Source organism: Homo sapiens, chromosome 11, assembly GCF_000001405.40.
Source record: "Homo sapiens chromosome 11, GRCh38.p14 Primary Assembly".
NCBI lineage: Eukaryota > Metazoa > Chordata > Mammalia > Primates > Hominidae > Homo > Homo sapiens.
The window spans coordinates 11,939,635-11,961,887 of NC_000011.10; the positions used below are offsets into that span (position 1 = coordinate 11,939,635).

At 36.8% G+C, this 22,253-nt stretch overlaps 1 protein-coding gene across 18 annotated transcripts in view; it reads left to right on the forward strand.

The window, feature by feature from the left end:
- USP47 (ubiquitin specific peptidase 47) overlaps window positions 1-22,253 on the forward strand; it is a 119,916-nt gene extending 97,663 nt beyond the window's left edge. For 15 of the 18 annotated variants that reach the window (NM_001372095.1, NM_001372093.1, NM_001372094.1 and 12 more), the window contains 10 exons: window positions 795-914; window positions 2,701-3,478; window positions 8,311-8,486; window positions 8,844-8,924; window positions 10,255-10,370; window positions 10,730-10,848; window positions 13,107-13,237; window positions 15,263-15,310; window positions 15,400-15,530; window positions 16,367-22,253. In NM_001372095.1, the coding sequence (NP_001359024.1) occupies window positions 795-914; window positions 2,701-3,478; window positions 8,311-8,486; window positions 8,844-8,924; window positions 10,255-10,370; window positions 10,730-10,848; window positions 13,107-13,237; window positions 15,263-15,310; window positions 15,400-15,530; window positions 16,367-16,541 (1,875 nt within the window). In that variant the 3' untranslated portion in view covers window positions 16,542-22,253. The remainder of the gene's footprint in view (window positions 1-794; window positions 915-2,700; window positions 3,479-8,310; window positions 8,487-8,843; window positions 8,925-10,254; window positions 10,371-10,729; window positions 10,849-13,106; window positions 13,238-15,262; window positions 15,311-15,399; window positions 15,531-16,366) is intronic. The other 3 variants (NM_001372096.1, NM_001372101.1, NM_001372103.1) reach the window with 2 other exon arrangements.

Genomic DNA, 22,253 nt, shown 5'->3' on the forward strand with positions numbered 1-22,253 from the left:
TGACAAATGTAAAAAAAATTAGTTTAATAAGCACTCACACATAATACAAAAGAAAGAGACACAGTAGTTTCTTCCCCAAGAAGTTAATAATCTTACTGAGAAAAATATGTCTATAGAGAATAAAGGCAGTCACAAAACATCATGTAAACAAATACAGTATTTTTAACCAGCCTGCTTAAGAATTAGGTATTTATAACTGATGACCTTAGTTGCATTGAAAAGAAATTGTGTTTTTTAAATGTAAAGTATTTTTATCTGCTGCTTTCATGTCAATTTATAAAATGACTCCAAAAATTAAAGATGTGGACTTTCAGAAAAACTTAAAATTTTCCCTACTAATCTTCTCATTTTACACAAAGGAAAATTGCTTATTGCTTTAATAAAAGTATTAAAAACTATTCACAGACTATAGAAAGGCCTGTCAAAAGCCAAGAAGTTCAACATTTTGATATCAGCAGTCAAAAAGTCAGTTACGCAGTTTCTTTGGAATCAGATCACTCATTTACTTGGCAAGTTTGAGAGCAATAGAGATTCTAGGAAAAAATCCTTACCTTTAAAATAGTTTCAGAGCATACATTTATAAATGGTACTTTGTTCTCCTGATTTGCAGTATAATTTATGGCTATAAGTAATTTTTCCCTTCAATTATTCAAAAATTTTAAAACCTCTACTAAAATTATGTTTCTCTCTGCTGCTTTTAAGAAGAACTCAGCAGTGTCTTGCTTTCCCATATTTTTAAGTCAAGCAGAATTATTTTTGAAAGAGTACTTTTTATTAAATTGCTTTCATTATAGGCCATCCATTTACCTGCTGAAACAATGAGAATAGTGCTGGAACGCTGCTACAATGATTTGCGTCTTCTCAGTGTCTCCAGTAAAACCCTGAAAGCTGAAGGATTTTTTAGAAGTAACAAGGTATGTCATTTACTTTTTCATTACTATTTTCTATGCTGGTAGTAGTAAATGAAATTAGGTTCAATATTATAAGCCTGGCCTCCACAGCTGTTCAACATCTGTCTGGAACTTAATTTAAAATTCTCAACCCAGTAATTACCTTCCTTTGTAGTCAGGTCAGGTCAGGCTCCCTTCTGTCCTGTGAATCAGTCCTACTGGTTCTCCTCTTCTTTGCCTTTGTTCATGTGCACTCCCACCTGGAGTGTTCTTCCTCCTCTCCCTGCATTTTTTTTTTTTCAGTCTCCAGATTAGTCCTACCTCTTTGGTGAAGACTTCATAACCATTTCTTCCCACAGTGATTATGTCCCCTGGATTGTGTTTATTCTTGAGCTTGTCCCATAAAGCAGTGCTTCATGGTGAGGGTCAGAGGCATACCTGGTATAGAGAAAATTATAATCTTGAGTTCACCCAACATTATTCCTTTTGCCTACTTATTTTTCTCTGTTGGAAATGAGAAAGTTCATGTTAATCCTCTTCTTTTGTCTTGCTATTATTATGTGTTTGATCATTTATCATTTTTCATATGTGTTTTTATCACTCTAGTCTCATTCATCTTAGTACAGTCTAGTCTTTTATCTCATTTAACTTTTTTAGTATTTTATTACTAATATGTAATTTTTATTCACCTACACTTCTAAAACTTTTGTGTGGTGGGGGAGGGGATGTACGTGTATATGTGTGTGTATATGTAAAACATTAAAATTTCTAATCCCCTCCAGTACATTACTTTAGGGTAAGAAGTGCAGTAGGGAAACTTTTCTTTTTCCTTAAACGGTTAGCGTACTGGTTTCAATTTGTAACATTTACTGAATAGGATAATGATAGTGTTATCCTTTTATGCAAAACCCAACATGCTATTTATAATTGCCAAATTTATGCCAAGTACGAATTTCATTTTAAAAAAAGATTTATTATGGAAAATTTCAAACGTAAACAAAAGTAGAGAAAATAGGGAAAATAGAGTGAACCCCCACACATCCCCATCTCTCAGCTTCCACAGTGATCATCTCGTTTCATCTATAATTTAACCACCTACTTCGCCCAGATTATTTGATAAACTTCCTCAGGATCATATCATTTCATCTATAGATAATATGAACATATATATCTAAATGAAGAGAACTCTTTTAAAAAAATGACAATTACATTATATACCTAAGAAATACCTTAATATCAGTCAATATCTAGTCAGTGTTCAAATTTCTCTGATTGTCTTAGAAAATTTTTTTCTGTAAATTTTCCTGTGTCTTTTTTGTTTGCTTCCTTGCAGTTTGTTACAAAGCCAAGTCATTTGCCCATTAAATTTTTCCATGATCTGGATTTTGGTGTTATATTCACAAGGTGTCTTTACACATGTTCCTGTGTCTGTAGTTCAGGCTAAACTTGGATTTCCTAAAGGTGAAAGATTTCTACAATCTAAAGAAAAACCAGAGTATTAATTTCCTAAAGAGAAGGATATATAATACACAACTTTCTGAAATTGGACAACCCAATAAACAAGATGTTTGTGTGTATGTGTATGTCCATACCGTCTATCTTAGTGTAGTTTTATGGCTAGTTACAAAGACATTTGAGCCTAATGTTCATTTTATTCAGTCTCCAAAACAATAGAGTCCTTCAGAAACTATATCATCACACATGTTATAACATAACTGTGTATTGTGTTGTATTGATGCAATATAATGATGATGATGAATGAGCATGTCACTAAAATTAATATATAATAAAACTCTGACTTACTATGTAGGTGTTTGTTGAAAGCTCCGAGACTTTGGATTACCAGATGGCCTTTGCAGACTCTCATTTATGGAAACTCCTGGATCGGCATGCAAATACAATCAGATTATTTGTTTTGCTACCTGAACAATCCCCAGTATCTTATTCCAAAAGGACAGCATACCAGAAAGCTGGAGGCGATTCTGGTAATGTGGATGATGACTGTGAAAGAGTCAAAGGACCTGTAGGAAGCCTAAAGTCTGTGGAAGCTATTCTAGAAGAAAGCACTGAAAAACTCAAAAGCTTGTCACTGCAGCAACAGCAGGATGGAGATAATGGGGACAGCAGCAAAAGTACTGAGACAAGTGACTTTGAAAACATCGAATCACCTCTCAATGAGAGGGACTCTTCAGCATCAGTGGATAATAGAGAACTTGAACAGCATATTCAGACTTCTGATCCAGAAAATTTTCAGTCTGAAGAACGATCAGACTCAGATGTGAATAATGACAGGAGTACAAGTTCAGTGGACAGTGATATTCTTAGCTCCAGTCATAGCAGTGATACTTTGTGCAATGCAGACAATGCTCAGATCCCTTTGGCTAATGGACTTGACTCTCACAGTATCACAAGTAGTAGAAGAACGAAAGCAAATGAAGGGAAAAAAGAAACATGGGATACAGCAGAAGAAGACTCTGGAACTGATAGTGAATATGATGAGAGTGGCAAGAGTAGGGGAGAAATGCAGTACATGTATTTCAAAGCTGAACCTTATGCTGCAGATGAAGGTTCTGGGGAAGGACATAAATGTATGTACTTCAAAAGAAAAACGGTCCTTGAAACAGCATCAGTTTTTCTCTCAGTTTATTTAAATTTTCAGTTAAGTGTTAGGTACTTAGTTCTAAGATCATTTGTAACTTTCTGGATTATAAGATTATTGACGCAGTTGTAATGAACACTGTTCTTAGACCTGTGCAGTAAATTAGATGGTAATTATATCAGAACTCTGAGATAAGAAGTAAAAAAAAATAGTATTCAATGTTAGGAAGGAATTATGATATAATTACTAAGTAAAAAATTAGGGAATATATTAAAAAGTAAATAATATTTTTTAAAAGCTGAGAAACTTTAGAAAATTTGATATTCAATGCCCAGGAAAATGTTTTATTTCTACATGCTCTTCCCTCTCTCCATTTCCAATGCAAACAACAATTCCCTTGCCATACCCCCTTAAAAAGTCCTTAATCAACTGGGAAAGTCAGAGAAAGAAAAAGCGCTCTTAAAATTTTTTCTGTTACTTTGAAGTAACTCCAAAGCAAGGAGTTACTAGAAATTCCAATGCATAATCTCAGAAAGAGGGAAAAGATCTGAGAGTTTGGGCATTTGGCATAAGCAGTAACAACAAAAACATTCCAGCATAGTATGAGACTTAAAATAAAAGAACCTTTATAAAACCTTAGACTGAGGCCAGCCAAATAATTAGCAAGGCAACCAGGTTTAAGATACAAAATCTTTCTTCAAGTGTAAAGGAGAAGTAGCTGGAAAAGTAAGTACTTTGCATTAGTTCTAGCAAAGCAAATATTAATATTACTCCTTATATTTTTATATTTTAGTTTTCAGAATGCTTATTTGTTCTCATTTAAAGCTTCTCCAAACTTTGTAAAGCAAACATTAGTATCCTGATGTGACAGGTAAGAAAGCCAAAGCTCATAGAGGATGAATGACTTGTCCAAAAGTGCATATATAGCTAGTAAATGGGACCATTACTAGAATTGAAGGCATCTAATTGTTCCTTTTACCTTTGGAAGGGAGCCCCACTCTTTATCCATCCAGTCATCCACCCATCCAAGTAACATTTTCTAAATCCATACTAGATGCCAGGCCCTATGTAACTGTTAGAAGCAGAGACAACTGAGATGCAGCCTTATGCTTCATCTCATGGGGAGGAGGTGCACAGTCACCCACTCTGAAAATTAAGTGCTATGATGCTTGTAGTCTCAAAATTCTATCTGCTAAAACAAAGTAGTAGAAATTATGAAATAATACAAGTATTTAAATTTGTGTTTTTAACTAGTTGGGTTAAATAACACTGGAATCATACAACATTCATACATATATCTTGCAGAAACTCAAGTATGAAAACGTGGATTGGCAGAACAAAATAGAGGGAAATCGTATTGTAATAATGTTTTAAATTTCTATGGAGTATGTACCTCATAAGGCTCATTAGCTTACATTGTTTCATTAGTTTTTTTAACAGCTGTGTGAAATTGATATTGTTAGACCGTTTTCACTGATGACGAAACTGGTCAAACAGATTAAGTAATTTGCCTGCAGTCACATAGCTAGTCGCTCACACTGCCAGGATGAGACTCAGATATCATTAGCCACCACCCCATAGCTGCTACCACTGTTCTTTCCTTGCATCTTAGTAAAGGAAAAATAGTAGTAACTGCTCTGCTTTTTTACCATACTCAACCCATCAAGGACATTAGAAAAATTAAAAGTAGTTCCTCTTTAGTAGAAGGTTGGAAATTTCTTTTAATTGGTTTGTTTTAGAATGATGTGCTAAAAATTTGACTGGATGATAGTCTCAACCGTAGGAAAAATTTGATTCGATGGGAATACTTAGAATTATAGTTTGAAAAGTCTCATTTCCATCTTAGAACAGTTAATAAAATCTTTTAAATGGAGAATGTTGGCCATATTTGGAAATTCATACCAGGCTAATTTCCTAGTGTTCATTGAAATAGTAAACATGGTGAAGAAGAGAAACCATTCACTACAACTTATGTATTTGGGCTTTTAGAAGCCATAGAAAAGGTCTTGTTTGAAAAGAAAATGTGACCCCGGAAAATGTCTTCTCATGTTTAGAAAACTGGTTTGGAGATAGGGGAGTAGGGATAGCAGCTAGCAACCAGGTTTTTCTTGAGTCTGTGCTAAGACTGATTCATTGCAGCTCCTCAGTCATCTGAAAGAAGGTCCCTGGGAAAACATGGGGATGATGAGTAGTAATACACATTCTTCAGAGTGATAAAATGGCAAGGAAGAACAGGTAGACAATGAATTTGATATTTAAAGAATGATGCACTATGCACAGTATACGCAGTTCACTCAGGCAATAATCTGTACTTAAAATGATGGTCCTTAAGATAGCAGTTATAATCCAAGAGTTGTTTCAGAGAATAATTACAGATCATTCTCTGAGAACACTGTCCTAGTAGGACTAGTTATAGTTCATAGGCACTTGGGTATAAACAGGAAAGCCAAGATAAATAAAGATGGTAGTGCATTTACACTGAAATTTCTCCGTACAATTTTGGTTACCGCTTCACTTAAGAAATTCGTAAGGGTCAGTTACAGTGCCTCACACCTGTAGTCCCTGCACTTTGGGAGGCCGTGAGGGGAACTGCTTGAACCCAGGAGTTAGAAACCAGCCTGAGCAACATAGTAAGACCCCATCTCTACAAAAAAAATTTTTTTAATTAGCCAGCGTGGTCATGTGCCTGTAGTTCTAGCTACTTCGGAGGCTGAGGTGGAAGGATCACTTGAGCCCAGAGGAGAGAGGCTGCAGTGAGCTATGATCGTACCACTGCACTCCAGCCTGGGCAACAGAGCGAGACCCTGTCCCCCCCCCAAAAAAAAAAGAAAAGAAAAGAAAAGGAAAAAGAATAAAAGAAATACGTAAGAGAAAGGACCAAAAAGGAAAATCATAAATACATTTTAAGGTTGTTCTGTGAAGACATAGACTCTTCAGTCTGAAGAGGTAGATAGGAAAAATGGTACAATAGTAATCTCTAAAACTACAAAGTAATTATAGCCAATAAATTAACACTCTTTGCCAAAGCTATGCTAAACATTTTACATGTATTGACCCCAGAACATAACTTTGAGGTTTAAATACTATTACCTGTATTTTATAGTAAAGGTAATTGAAGTACAGAAAAGTTAAGAAGTCAGAGTCACAAATCTAATATATGAAGAGGAGCCAGGAATTCATTCAGGCCAGGCCATCAAATTCCAGAACCAGTTGGTCATAATCACCATATTAAACGATATCAGTAACCAGCAAACATTTTTGTCTTCCTATGACACAGCACTACTAGAGGTTAGGAAAGAAACCAAAATGGCAATAAAAGCTTGTATTTGAGTAATGCTTTAGAAAAGACTTTTACTACATTTGTCACAACAATGTTATATGTTATGATCACGTGGGAAAACAGGTTGAGGGAGATTGGATGACCTGCCTACAGCCATTTATCAGAGTAAAGTGACAAAACTGAAATCTAGCCATAGGCTTTCCATTTCTAATCCGGTAATTTTTGCATTACACCCTTCTGTTAAGAAATTTAGTACCTCGTTGGATAGCATAGACAGAAGCTTGTTTGCCATAAGCTGGATTATTGACATAGAGGGGCACTCCTTAAAGCTTAAAAAGTGACATTTTAAACAAATTAAGAGAAATGCTGCCTCAAAACTCAAAAGGTAGATAGTAAATAAAGCTCATCACCCTCTTCATACTTTCTTCTAATTTGTTCTTGTCACATTTTCTATTAATGAGCCTATATTTTATAGCCAGGAAAACAATGAACATTAATTTATTTGACAAGTCATCTGAGAAAAATTCAACCCAAGTGTTGATATGACATGGGAATGTTGGTTTACCAGGAGTGTTTTAAGGCCTCATCCTTTACCTTCCATGTAGCTTTAGCAGAAAAACCAGACCTAACATGGAGGGAGCCTTAGAGCCAGGGAGGTCCAGTGGCCTGAGGCAGCGAGGCAGCACTGCCTTATTAACTGAGAGTCTGGTTTCTGCTTTCTTCTACAATATGAAGACCACAGTCAATAGAAGCATTCCAGATGTGTCCTCATGAGTGGCTTATAAAATTAGGGACAAAAGATTAAAATAATAAGCATTAGGGAAAAACGAAGCTCATCAAAGATAATCCTATTACAATACCAAGAGAGCTTAAATTTAAGCCGGGAAGAGGTAAGAGTTTCTGATCCATTTAAATACAGTTCCTGTTAATTACAGCCCAACCACATGATAAATCAGACATCTTAGTATGCCAGTCGTGACTTTTTTTCTAGTGAAAATCTGAAAATTAAATAATATTACTAACAGTTTTTGAGGCAATCACGCTGTATTTGGCACTGTGCTGAAAGCATGATAAATGAATTACCTCACTGAAGTCACATTGCAACACTCAGGTGGGCACTATTATCATCTCCATTTTTCTAGTGAGGAAATGGAGGTACGGAGGCTGGCGCCGTGTCCCATATAGTAAGTAAGCAGAAGAGGTGGGATTGGAACCACCAGAGCTTACACTATTACTGTGTAGAGCTAGAAGTGTATATATTTTAAAAGAATTCCTAGAAGCTTGTTTTTGAGTTTGGCAACCTAAACAAAGAAACAAGCACTTAAATAGCTCAGAACATTTTAAGCTGTCAGATAAAACCTATCAGAAACCCTGTGTCCATGTTTTTTGTCCATTCAGTGTGGTATATTAGCTAAAGTCTAACTGAAAAGGGGTACTCTTTACTGCATACAGTGTAATAAAAAGTATATGATCTGTTTTATTTATACTCAGAGGTTTCTTTTACATTTTTGTTCCTGTTTTGGTTTTTTTTTTGTGCTTAGGGTTGATGGTGCATGTTGATAAAAGAATTACTCTGGCAGCTTTCAAACAACATTTAGAGCCCTTTGTTGGAGTTTTGTCCTCTCACTTCAAGGTCTTTCGAGTGTATGCCAGCAATCAAGAGTTTGAGAGCGTCCGGCTGAATGAGACACTTTCATCATTTTCTGATGACAATAAGGTTGATTAAAATAATCTTCGAGTAGTTAGAGTCTATTTTAAATGATAGATTTGAGAACAGCTTTTACTACTTCCAAGTGAGGTGAAGTAGATAAACTGGAAGGATTTTTTTTTAATGATTAATGGTAATTTGGGGGGTTTTTTGTTGTTATTTTTCTTCACTCATCTAACAAACATTTGTGAAATGTTAGCTGTGTGTCAGTTACTATTCTAGGTGCTGGGGATTCAGAGGTAAAAGATATGCCTGTTCTCAGAGAGCCTATAATCTAGAGTATTTTGGAAAGTTTAAAAATGGGATGAGAATGGGTTGTTTATTCTGCTGAGACAGCATGTCTAAAAAAATGTTTTTAACTTATAGATTACAATTAGACTGGGGAGAGCACTTAAAAAAGGAGAATACAGAGTTAAAGTATACCAGCTTTTGGTCAATGAACAAGAGGTAAGTAATACGTTTAAGAATAATATAAGGTTACTTTTTACAGTTACTGAAAACATAGAATATATTTTATTCATAGTCATTTTATTTCTCTGAAGCAAAGGTCAGCAAATTTTTTCTGGGCCTTGCAGTTTAGCAGGCCATACTGCCTCTGTTGCAGTTACTCACTTCTGCTATTATAGCACAAGGAGCCATAGACAATAATAAGCCAATGAGATGGCTATGTCTCAACATTTTATTTACAAAAGCAGGCAGCAGTGAACTTGGCCCTCAGGCCACTGTTTGTCATCCCTGTGCTCTAAAGTGTTGCTACAAATGCTGAAATGAGACAAAATTTTCCTGCTTTTAAAAGGAAAAGAAATTTTTTTGTGCGTGTGCTTGCTTTCTGGAAACAATCATACAGTGCTACAGGTGAATAGCAGTTGCAAGTCATTTTAGTATGTAACAAGCATTTATATAGTGTCTACTGTGTGCTTTAGGTGCTTGCAAATATTAACTCATTTAATCATCAGTTAACTAAGATACAAGCACTATTTCTTATTCTCATTCTATAGATGAAGAAACTGAGGCACAGAGAAGTTAAGTATCTTGGTCAAGGTCACTGCTTGTAAACGGTGTGGGTGAATGATCTAAACAGGCCGTGTTTTTTAAGGGGTCAATAAAATATTTTAGTCCTGTGGTATACTAGCCTTACCACAAATACCCAAAAGAATAAGGCAAAGATCATATTTTCAGAATGTTATAACATCCTATTGTTATAACATTCTGTTATAACATGTTATAGCATCCTGTTGAAGAACTAGACAAATGTGAAAACCATAAATTTATCATAAAATGCCTTTATTCATATAAGATATTTTATCTGGCATCTGTTATTTCTCTTAATGTGACCCATTACAGTCATTTTGATTTACATATTTAATCTGAGTTTGTGGAAACTGTCTCTTTTGAGACAATTGGTTAAAGTATTTGGAGAATTAGTATACATTTCCCTCATTTTAGTCCATAAAAGTGGTTCTTTTTGCTTTCAAAATTATAACTGTTAAAAGAAGGAAAATACAAGTGTGTTATCCTATTTAACCTTTACAATGACTCAGTGAGGAAGATACTGTTCCCAGTTTACAGAACTGAGACACAGAGATTTTAAGTAAACTTGCCCAAGATAGCTGAGCTCATAAATAGTGGAGCTAAGGTTTCAAAAAAGGAAGATAGACTCTGAAACTCAGGCCCTTAATTGCAAATAAAATGTTTTGGTAATTTTTATTTTAATGTGTTAATATTAATGTACTTAAGGTATAATTCAAGCTCTGATTGTTTATGTTTATATTTCTAGCCATGCAAGTTTCTGCTAGATGCTGTGTTTGCTAAAGGAATGACTGTACGGCAATCAAAAGAGGAATTAATTCCTCAGCTCAGGGAGCAATGTGGTTTAGAGCTCAGTATTGACAGGTAAAGTAAAATTAATGTCATCAGCGATTTGAAGAAAGACTATGTGGTCAGTTGAAATGGACTGGTATGATTTTCTAAAACTAGGAGAATTAAAATTTCCTGTGCTATTCAGAATTTTAGTATGACAGATTAGTTTAATAGGACTAAACAAGAGTATTAAAATTTTGTTTGGATTTCCTATACAGAATTCTAAATTTGAATTACTGGAAACATTTCTTTATTTCCCCAGATTTTAACAACTCATTATTTGACTTTTGTATTTGAACATAGTTCATTTTTCTTTGGTGTCAGATTAGTGTCAATCTTTAAATTGAGAGTTTCAAATTATAGTCGTTTTAAATGTCTTATCACATTTGTAGGTTTCGTCTAAGGAAAAAAACATGGAAGAATCCTGGCACTGTCTTTTTGGATTATCATATTTATGAAGAAGATATTAATATTTCCAGCAACTGGGAGGTTTTCCTTGAAGTTCTTGATGGTATTTTCAATATTTTTGGGGGGAAGTATCAGTTAGAAATACTCTAGAACTAATAGAAGCCTATAGTTTTTAATCAAATAATGAGTTACGAGGAATCTAATATACATTATAGTGTTTTGTGTTATATTAAGCATAACGATATCCTTATTATGGATTGATGTGATTCCTACCTACGTCTTATCCTTGGGAGTTTTATTTTCTTCCCCTGTGTCCTAATGTAACTGCTTAAGTTGTTTTTGAAAGAATAATCAGTGTCTTTCAGCCTTCTGCTATCTTTCTCTGGTTCCCATTTGCCTTTTAAGTATTCTTTTTTTGAATGTTGAGAATATTAATTCCCCCTTATGAGGAAATTACAAAGTTAGGTTTTTAATACATTTTAAGAAAACTCTGCTAATATTTTCTTAGCCACGTTTGTTCTTTAGTTTCTTTTTTACTATTATGGCTTATTTTGTATTGAAGACATGGTACTGATAATTTATCAGAGACTCAAGAACAATGACTATTTGTGTCCTAAGCCAGGTGGCTTAAAGAATAGAAGTGTATTGTCTCACAATCTGAGATCAGGCTGTCAACAGGGTTGGTTCCTTCTGAGTGCTGTGGGGGAGAATCTGTTCCATACTCTCTCCTAGCTTCTGTGGTTTTTGGCCATCATTGGCAACCTTGGCTTGTAGATACATCACCCCAGTCTCTGCCTTCATCTTCATGTGGTGTTCTTTCTGTGGGCTTGTCTGTCTGTATTGTTTTCCCCTTTTTCATAAACCACTAGTCCTATTGTATTAGGGCCCACCCTGAAGACCTTATTTTACTTTGAGTATCACTGGAAAGACCCTATTTCCAAATAAGGTCACATTCTGAGGTACTAGGGATTAGGATTTCAAAATGTCTTTTTGTGGGGGGCACAATTCAACCCATAGCAGTGACCTTGAGGAGGTCCAAGTAGCAGACATACTTGTCACACCTCCCAGTTTTCGTTATCAACATTGGCACATTTAAAGTATTGGTGTTTGGAGGGAGGCTTATAGGAGGAAAGTTGGCTTTTAGAAGATCACATCAAGGTAAACAACTAGTTCTATATTCTTTTTTTGCTGTTGCTTAGGAAAATTTTAATTTTCCTTTTCTTCTGTAGAAAGTAAAATATGAATTCTGGATATTTTGTTACAAGATTATCCTAGTTTTTAGAGAGCTCAATAATACTAACACCTCATGTATTTCAGGCTGCTTCAGGTCTAATTCAACCATAAATTTAAATGGTTGAAATTCTGATTAATTGACAAGTTAAGTTGGGAGGTAAGGAACAACTAGGATACCATCTACTATGGTGTGTAGGCAAGTGCTCCAGATTGTGATTTCTTTGAGTATCTGGGGTCGTAGGGAATAATCACTGTGCCTGGGTAAGTCAGGAAGAGATCATAAATGACAAAGAAGTCACCCTTGTAAGGATTGAGTATGTATTAGCAGAGATGGATTCATCTGAAAATGGTACTAGATGGTGGGTGCCTGCATCAGTATTATTTCAGTATATTTTCACATCAAGATAGTTGAGTAAGAAATGTCATGTGATTAAATCCAAGAGGTATTTATTGACCTGTAATTTGCCAGACACTGCTAATCCCTTGTGCTACAAAAATGAGTAAGAACCACTTATTGGTGCACACAGTCTGTGGAAGAAACAGAACTGCAAACCTGTCATTCTAAAATAATAGGTACTAAGGGACTGAATCAGTAGAAGTTCTTCTTGTGTACACCAGAGAAAAGTGACAATTGAGTTGATGCTTGAAAAGTGACAATTGAGTTGATGCTTGAAAAGTGACATAATGGAAAAGTGACAATTTTGAAGAATCACTAAATTGGGGAGTAAATGGAAAGAGAAGGATTAATAATAGCTTTAGTGAAAAAAGAGGATAAAGTGAAGTTGATTTGTTTATGATTTTAGATAGGGATAGGAGCCAATAGAGAAACAAAGATTGGAAATCCAGAGAAGAGAGTAATTGGTAATGCAGTGTTCAACAGGAGTCAGGAGGGAGTGGAATTAGGAGTACTGGTTTGAAGAAGAGAGGAATTATCTTCTGAGACTGGAGAGAAGAGAGTAAATATTTCATTCTCAAAAACTCCTTGGGATAATTGGGTTTTTTCTTGTGCCCACTTTTTAAGAGTAACACTTGAAGTAAATCTTTTTGTTTAGTAAGGCACTAAGGGAAAAGTCAAATTATGAACCTTCAGAGGAAATAGAATGATGACCTAATCTTGCATATTCTTAGGGGTAGAGAAGATGAAGTCCATGTCACAGCTTGCAGTTTTGTCAAGACGGTGGAAGCCTTCAGAGATGAAGTTGGATCCCTTCCAGGAGGTTGTATTGGAAAGCAGTAGTGTGGACGAATTGCGAGAGAAGGTAAGTTCATTTTAAACAAAACATGTATCTTATGTTGTATATGTATATCATAATATTAATAAAATATATAATATATAAACAATACATTCTTCCTGTGTTGCGTAAGAGAAAACCTAGGAAGTAGTACCAAACACTGGTGCAGCAACCTTTCTTTTTGGTTTCTGTCACACCTTGTGGCACACTCTGGTTGTTCAGGCTCCTGATTCTTTGAAAAATTACTTTGGCTCCTGGCCATTCAGAAGTGGATCCTCACTTTCTGTTACTTGGACCAATTTTGTCCTAAGTAGTTAGAATTAGTTAGAAGTTACTAGAGTGAATTGCTTTATGTCTAAAAAAAACCAAATGAAGTCGAATTGTGTAGAGAATCCAGATGAAGGTCTGTTTTGCATTTTAAGATGGGATATCTAAGGATCTCTGGGGAAAGGGTGAATTAGTCAATCTGTGGTACTAGCACAATGAGCATTTTGAAAAAGATTTATTTCCATACTTCATACTAAACACAAAAATAAATTCTAAATGTATTAAGTTTATATATAAAAAAAGTAAATGTACTAGGTGAAAATATGTAAAATATTAAATACTAAAAATATTTTCATATTCCTGGAAAAAGATATTTGTAAGCATAATACCAGAAGCCAAAAAAAGAAACTATAGACCACGTAAAAACCTATCCTCTGCATAGCCAAAGAAAAAGGTATTTAAAAAGCAACTCATAAACAAAGCTAAAAGACAATAAACTAGGAGGAAATTATTTGAAGCAGTTATTAAACATGCTGTCCATAATTTATAAGGAGCTACTACCTTAATAAGAAAAAGACGGAACAAATCTAATTTTAAGAAAGACAGCATGAATAGGCAATTTATAGAAAAAGAAATACAAATTAAAGAATAACGTTATTTTTCACTCTTAAATTGGTGAAGATTTAGAAAATCAAAAAATACCTAGAGTTCTCAAGGTTTAGGGGATACAGACAATATATACCTTTGATAAGTGTATAAATTGATATGATTTTTTTCAAGTTCAGTTGGCATCATTTGTCAGTATTTCGGATTTGCAATTAAACATCTGGGAATTCGATCTGTAGAAGTATTTGCAGGTTGGGTGCCATGGCTCACTCCTGTAATCCCAGCACTTTGGGAGGTTGAGGTGGGCAGATCACTTGAGTTCAGGAGTTCGAGACCAGCCTGGCCAACATGGTGAAACCCTGTGTCTACTAAAAATACAAAAATTAGCCAAGTGTGGTGGTGCATGCCTGTAATTTTAGCTACTCAGGAGGCTGAAGCTGGAGAACTGCTTGAACCCAGGAGGTGGAGGTTGCAGTGAACCAAGATTGCACCACTGCACTCCAGTCTAGGTGATGGAGTGAGACTCTGTCTCAAGAAAAAAGAATTTATTTATTTATGTATTTATTTTTGAGACGGAGTTTCACTCTTATTGCCCTGGCTGGAATGCAGTGGTGCGATCTTGGCTCACTGCAGCCTCCGCCTCCCGGGTTCAAGTGATTCTCCTGGTTCAGCCTCCCGAGTAGCTGGGACTACAAGCACATGCCACCACGCCCGGCTAATTCTTTGTATTTTTAGTTGAGACGGGGTTTCACCATGTGCGAGGATATTCATGGAAGTATACAGTAGAGCTTTGTAACTTGGAAAAACTGAAAACAGTCTCAGTGTCCATCAGTAGGAGATAAAATGTATATTGTTCGGTTATTGAAGAGAATGTGGTCACTTTGTATCCTATTCCTCTAGGAACAGAATTATTATATAGAGATATTAATCTGATTTTACATGTTTTAGAAACGTGGGTGTAGTTTGTGTATGCATAGGAAAAGGTCTGGAAGGAATATACTAACTTGGTATTTCTGGGACATGGTATTTGCAGGGTGGCCGCTTTCTGCTTTTTCTTAATTTTTTTACATGAAACATTTTTTAAACTGAGCTATTTCTGTTTGTGGGGTAAAAGGAAAATAACTTTTCTAAGCAAGTTAATTTTTTAAATGAACTCAAATAAAATGTTTTATTTTACAGCTTAGTGAAATCAGTGGGATTCCTTTGGATGATATTGAATTTGCTAAGGTAAAGCCCTGAGAATGTTGCATCTGTGTATTGTGCATGATAAACACAGCTAGTGGCATGATTTATTCATTCATTCTTTTTCTTTTTAGGGTAGAGGAACATTTCCCTGTGATATTTCTGTCCTTGATATTCATCAGGATTTAGACTGGAATCCTAAAGTTTCTACCCTGAATGTCTGGCCTCTTTATATCTGTGATGATGGTGCGGTCATATTTTATAGGTAACATTCACAATGTTTTTGTTGCTGTTAGTAATACATTTTTGGCGTGCATACATATCTTATTTTCCATAAATATCTTTACTGTTTTTATGATATGGAGCGGCACTAACCGGTAGAAATACAGTGACAGCCAAACATGATTATAATTTGAAGTTTTCTAGTAGCCACATTAAAAACAATAAAAAGAAACAGGTGAAATTAATTTTAAAAATATTGTAAACCCAATATATCCAAAATATGATCATTACATGTCATCAGTATAAAAAATCATTTGTATTTTGCATTTTTTTATTGTACTGAGTCTTAGAAATATTGTATGTCTGTTATATTTCCAGCACATCTCAATTTGAACCAGGCATATTTCACAAGCTCAATAGCCACATGTGGCTAATGGCTGTTGTATTGGACAGCACAGATGTAGAGGAAAAAGAATAGTCATTGGAGCCTCACAAATCTGGGTTCAAAACTAGCTTTCTGATTTACCTAGCTCCTCATCTATAAAATTGCAACAATGATGTCTACCTTGCAGGATTTTATGAGAATTAGAGCTGTTGCATGTAAAATAACTGGCACAGTGCCTATTATAGATGTTCAATAATGATAGCTGTTACTACTGCTAATAACATGGAAGTTATTCTCCGCCACTTTTAGAAGTAAGCAATATGTTCCTGTGATTAACACCTTAGAAATCTGGGACATCTCAGTATATAAAATAATATTACTTCACCAGTAACAGATTTCATTATCTTGCTGAGGAGCATCATAGCATTCAAGCATACATTAATAGAGGTGGAGGGCTCTACTGGACTAATATGTGATTAATATTTTATATGTAGGGATAAAACAGAAGAATTAATGGAATTGACAGATGAGCAAAGAAATGAACTGATGAAAAAAGAAAGCAGTCGACTCCAGAAGACTGGACATCGTGTAACATACTCACCTCGTAAAGAGAAAGCACTAAAAATATATCTGGATGGAGCACCAAATAAAGATCTGACTCAAGACTGACTCTGATAGTGTAGCATTTTCCCTGGGGGAGTTTTGGTTTTAATTAGATGGTTCACTACCACTGGGTAGTGCCATTTTGGCCGGACATGGTTGGGGTAACCCAGTGACACCAGCACTGATTGGACTGCCCTACACCAATCAGAAGCTCAGTGCCCAATGGGCCACTGTTTTGACTCGGAATCATGTTGTGCACTATAGTCAAATGTACTGTAAAGTGAAAAGGGATGTGCAAAAAAATAAAAAAAAACAACAAAAAAAGCTAACCTTCTATTAGAAAAGGGGACAGGGGAATGAGTAAACTTCTTTTATTGCGGACAAATGTGCACATAGCCGCTAGTAAAACTAGCCTCAAACAGGATGCTCATAGCTTAATAATAAAAGCTGTGCAAAGGCCATGAATGAATGAATTTTCTGTTTATTTCACTGATGCACACATTACCTCATTGACAATTCAGAAGTAAATCCAACGTGTGTTGACTCTTGGAAAGCAGCAAAAACAGGAGCTGAAGAAAAGAAATTCTTGGAACCAGCCGTAACCCAGTAAGGAATTGTGAAGTTGTGTTTTTATTTTGTTTCATTTTTTGCAGAGTATTAAGAACATTATTCTGGAACATCAGAACGTTTCCCTTAGACCGATCCCAGCAGGTGGCAGCTCAGATTGCTGCAGTGTTGTAATTATAACTGATTGTACTTAAGTTATGGATGTAGAGAATATGTTTCATTCATTTATTCAGCATGTAAATAAAATTGATCCTGTTGAGTTATCATAATTGCAGTTCAACTATCTGCCATGATTATTCTTTTCACGTATCATTCATTCTGTACATTTGTGTACATTGAGAAGTATAGCAATCTATGTAAATGTAATCCTCAGTGAGGTTCCTCAGTGCTAGGTCCCATAGGATTGTCGTTGCCCTTGTTAATGAGGTTTCTCTGTTCAGCGGCTTCAATTTTTTTCTCTTTGTACATCTAGTTTTGAAGATTTACTTCAAGTTTGAATCTTCTAGAATGCTTGTAAGTCCAGTTTTAATTTTTAGAGTCAATTTGTAGTTACATGTAGTTTAACTTTTGGGAAACGTCTTAACATTGTTCTGAATAAACTTGCTAATGAGGTCAGGTCATGGTACAGACTGATGCAGTCAACATGATTTCATTGCAGAGTTTATTAGTATCAGCAAGTTTTTGCTTTGCTAAATAAAAGTACTCAATGAACACAATTCTACATAAATTTTGACATACCATCTAATTTATAAAAATCAATAAAAAAGGTTTTGGTAAAACTTTTTCATGCCAGATGCTGTTTACAACAATGAACATGCCAATAAAACATTTGTTCATTCTGTTGTGTTATTTTAGTCATTAAACTTCTGTGGATGAAGAATCTGGGTTAAGAATAGATTTGTCATCTTTAAATATGACATTTTGTAATGTGTATTGGATATCTCATTTCTATGATAAAGGTATATTTACAGTAAAGTTCTCATAAGAGAAATGAAAAGCTGTGTTAATATCTAACTTTGGGGAACCCTGTCAGTATTTCAGATCCGATTTTTACCCTTTTTTTCTTATAAGAAAGATAAAATTAGAAAATACTGTTAGCAAATGTGGCTCTGCCATTTGAATATAATCACCGAGAATTCCATGTCTTAAAAGTCTCCTGGAATCCACAATGAAAAAAAAAATCTTTTCTAAGGTATTTTTCTGGCTAATTTTTATTTGAAGAAAGCTATAGCATTTAGCGAAATTTGACTGAAGTAATGTTCTGAGTTTGCATTAGTGGGATTGGTGATGTTCTCAGAAGAAAATTGGAAACACTTGTGATGAATTGTCTTTCAGATCACTTAGATTTTCTGATGTAAGAGGACAGCTGTTTGGTTCTGATACAGGCCTGCTTACTTGGGATGTAGGGTTAGTAAATGGGGTTTCTGCTTTAAAGGACTGACTTGCTATCACACAAAAGAGGCAGACTTGTAAACACAATGGGCTTTGGAGTTTGGTCTGATTGGGTTTGGTTTAGTATTCCTATGAGCGTAAATGGTAAAATTCTTCTGATACCCACTCTTTAGACTGTGCCTTCTGCTCTGTTCTTTGTTTTATGTTTAACTGCTGTTTCTAATTGCAGGTGTATTACAGATACAAATAAGAGTAAAGAAAATATATTTCATTATAGAAAAGAAAAAATTAAAAGCTTCTTGCTTTTCAGTGCCTGATAGAGTGAAAACACAAAGTTGCACTTTAATAATTTCAATAAAAGCTAATCTGTGTCAGCCTCCCTCTGCTTCAGAGAGTCAGGTGAGCATCCATAACCTAACAGGCAGAGCCCTAGCGATGTGGATCAAGTTTCCTGAGCCCGGGGGCGGTGGAGCCTCATGATCTCTTATCTTTTGAGGCTGAGGCAGGTCACATGCAACAAATTGTGACCCTGCTCCCCACAAGTCATGCAAAGGTTTTGAAGAGCTTTTACCGTGGGGCAGATGAACTTGTGTCAACCATGCACACCCTGTGAGAACCAAGTACCTGTGTTTCTAAGGCGGGCACTCAAGGTGAGGGGTGCATTCTGGCCAAAGAAACAAAAGCTGTGGTTTCAGGACCATGCCGTGTGTAGCTGATCTGTACGGGACGTGTATGTAAGGAAGAGCAATCATGATAGATAAGAACAGTGTGTGAAGCAGCCTTCACACTAGAGTGTTTGGTCATCTCTTATAATGTAAGGGAAGGTACTTTAAAATTCTGGGAAGATGCGATGAACTCATGTCCCAGTCAGAAAATAATCCAATGAAATAAGCATTGGTTGCCAGGCCACAGTTAGGAATTGTATTGTGATACATCTAGAGGCCAAGAGAGCAGGAGAGAGCTACCAACTTACACTGTGGTTTAAGCTAAATGACCGCACAGCATCATAGCATTGCAGTGTTGTTACTAAATCTGGAAGTGACCTGTGAATGTATGGAATACAATAAAGTCTTTTATTCTGGTTCATTTGCTAGTACTTCCTTTTTGATTGGATACTGTAGTTCTTCCTCTGGATTTTATTTTGTTCAGCGTCAAGGCCCTAATTTTGCAAATGTAGTCTAAACCACATTACGTGGACTAGAGGATACTCTGAATTAGCAAGTTTTTTGTTTGCTGAATAAAACTATTCCATCTTAACAATTCTGTGTAATTTTTGAAAAACATCAACATTTTGGTCACTAGTAGTCAAAATCTTATAAGGCCATATGTCCTGAAAGGCAAAACTCTGTGTATGTGCGATTTACCAGGGAGATAGTAGGACAGTTTTTATGAGGGTTTCAAAGGAGTTCATGGCCCAAATGAAGCTTGTGGCCACCTAGGTTTAGTGTACATGAAATTGGAAGATGCTTCTTGATTGTAGTTCCCATGGGGAAGAGGGAGGCTGTGATCATTTGGTTAGATACAGCATTAATTGTCACAACTTGACTTTCAGAAACAAGAATACTGCACAAACTCAAGCATGCATTGGAGCATGTGTTACTATTTAGAAAAGAGTGCAGCCATCAGTAGGTCAAGCTAGGAGGGCAAAAGAGAGTTGAGAGGAATGCTCTGCCCCTTCCCCATCACAGCACTGCCCCTTTCCACCTCCTCACCAGCTCACCTGTACAAGAGAATTGATCTCAACTGAGTGTCAGCTCACCAGGTCAGAAATTGTTATTGGACCCTAAAACCTTGCCTCACAGGTGGGCACCAAGCTCCCCTTCCCTCTGCTTTCCATGTTTCCCACCTGCCCTCTCCCCACCTGTTTTCAGCCTCTTTTATAATGCTTAAGTAACCTGCTTGAAGAGTATAATTTATGGAGATAAAAATACTCAATGCTTACATTTTTTTCATAACTGTGCCAATTGTTTTGTCAAATGCAGTTACCCACTGGGCAGTGGGCTTATCAAGTGCTCAGTGCAATCCTGTGACTTTTAAGTCATTTTGCATTATTAAGACAATCTTATCTTAAAGTTCAGTGGTTTCATTCAAAGCTCCCCTGAACCTCCATAGTGCCTCCAAGATGTGCTGTCCCTGCCAACTCCTGCACCAGCTTGACTGGTGGTGGAAGAGGCCAGGAAGAGCGGGGGGAAGACATGTGCTAACCACTTCTTAGCAATGAGGCTGGTAAGGTTACTGTCCCCTTGTGCCTGGTCACTAGTAACTTTTTTGTAGACATGAAGGTAGATGCCCTGCAGGTCCTATCAGCAAAGGACCCAACTCCTAACAGCATTGGTGCTCCCTCATGAAATTTGACAGTGTCTTGCCAGCCTCCTGCTGGCAGACACTTCTCTGCAGTGAATACCACTATCCCATGCTGCACTAGTCCCTACCAAGTCTTCAACCCTCAATTTGATCTTCCATGAGTGTCTCAAAAAGTTCCCCTCAGAAGTTTCAGCCAAGGGAATAAAATCTAACCTCTCCTCCCTCAACGGAGTGTCAGGGAGGGGAAGAATCTGTTTTCCAAACACCACAATCTCCCAAAAGGGGATTTCACCCTCCCTTGGTCATCTTTATACAGGGCAATTGTGCTGCTGCTGCTGAGGTGGCCACTTTCAGCAAGCCCTGTGTGCAGGGGCCTAGCTGCATTTAGAAACCAAGCATAGCTATCAAAAAGTAATCTCCAAATAGTTGAATTGCATTTCTTGAGTATCTGGAGAGGATGTGCAGACCACAGGAATACCTAATGCCTTTTTTCTCTTCCTGTCTTTGTCCCTCACACTACAGCAGGCCCCTCCCTTCCCTCTTCAACCTCATCCTCCCTCCCCACAGGCCCAGAGAACCAGTTGGGCTTTGTTCTCCTGCAGGCTATGGTTCATCATGCAAATAGCTCCTGTGTCAGAAATGCTTTTTGGCTTCAAATAACAGAAAAGCTAACACCAGCTTTATCAATAATAATATCGGTGGTTTACTTAAGGTGTCCAGAGATGGTGGAGAACAGGATTGGTTTCCTCCTCAATGTCAAGGACTCAAAGACTCTTTCTGTGGTAGGGCCACATCCTAAACCCTGTATCCTGTGATTATTTACCTGACAGGGCAAAAGAGATTTTGCAGATGCAATTAAGGTTAAGGACCTTGACGTGGGAAGATTGTGATTATTTACCTGACAGGGCAAAAGAGATTTTGCAGATGCAATTAAGGTTAAGGACCTTGACGTGGGAAGATTATTCTGGATTATCTAGGTGGGCGCAATTTGATCACATGGGTCCCCAGAAGTGGAGAACCTTTCCCACCTGTAGAAAGCCAGAGAGCTGGCACCTGAGAAGGACAGAACTGTCATTGCAGGATTTGAAGATGAAGGGGCCCATGAGCCAAGGAATGCCAGTGACCTATAGAGGCTAAAAAACAGCAAGGAAATGGACTCTCCCCAGAGCCTCCAGAGGAATGCAGCCCTGTTGATCACATGATCACCAGATGGCTGCCCCAGAGCCAAATGTCGCTTCCTGAGCACCATACTCAAAGGCAGGGGAAGTGGATGGAGGGCAGGAGCTCCATTCTTGTTTGCCACTCTCCTTTTGTCAATTGGGAAAAAATTCCAGAAACTCTGGGAGCCCTCCCCTTACATTTCCTGGGTCATGGGGCCAGCCCTAGCTGCTGGAGGGACTGAGAACAGCTGTTGAGCAGTTTACCTGACGGCATCTGCCATGGCTTGGCAGGAACTCTGGCTTTGGGAGAGAGCAGCAGCAAGGTATTCAAGCACCACCTCCACCCAGCCCCTCC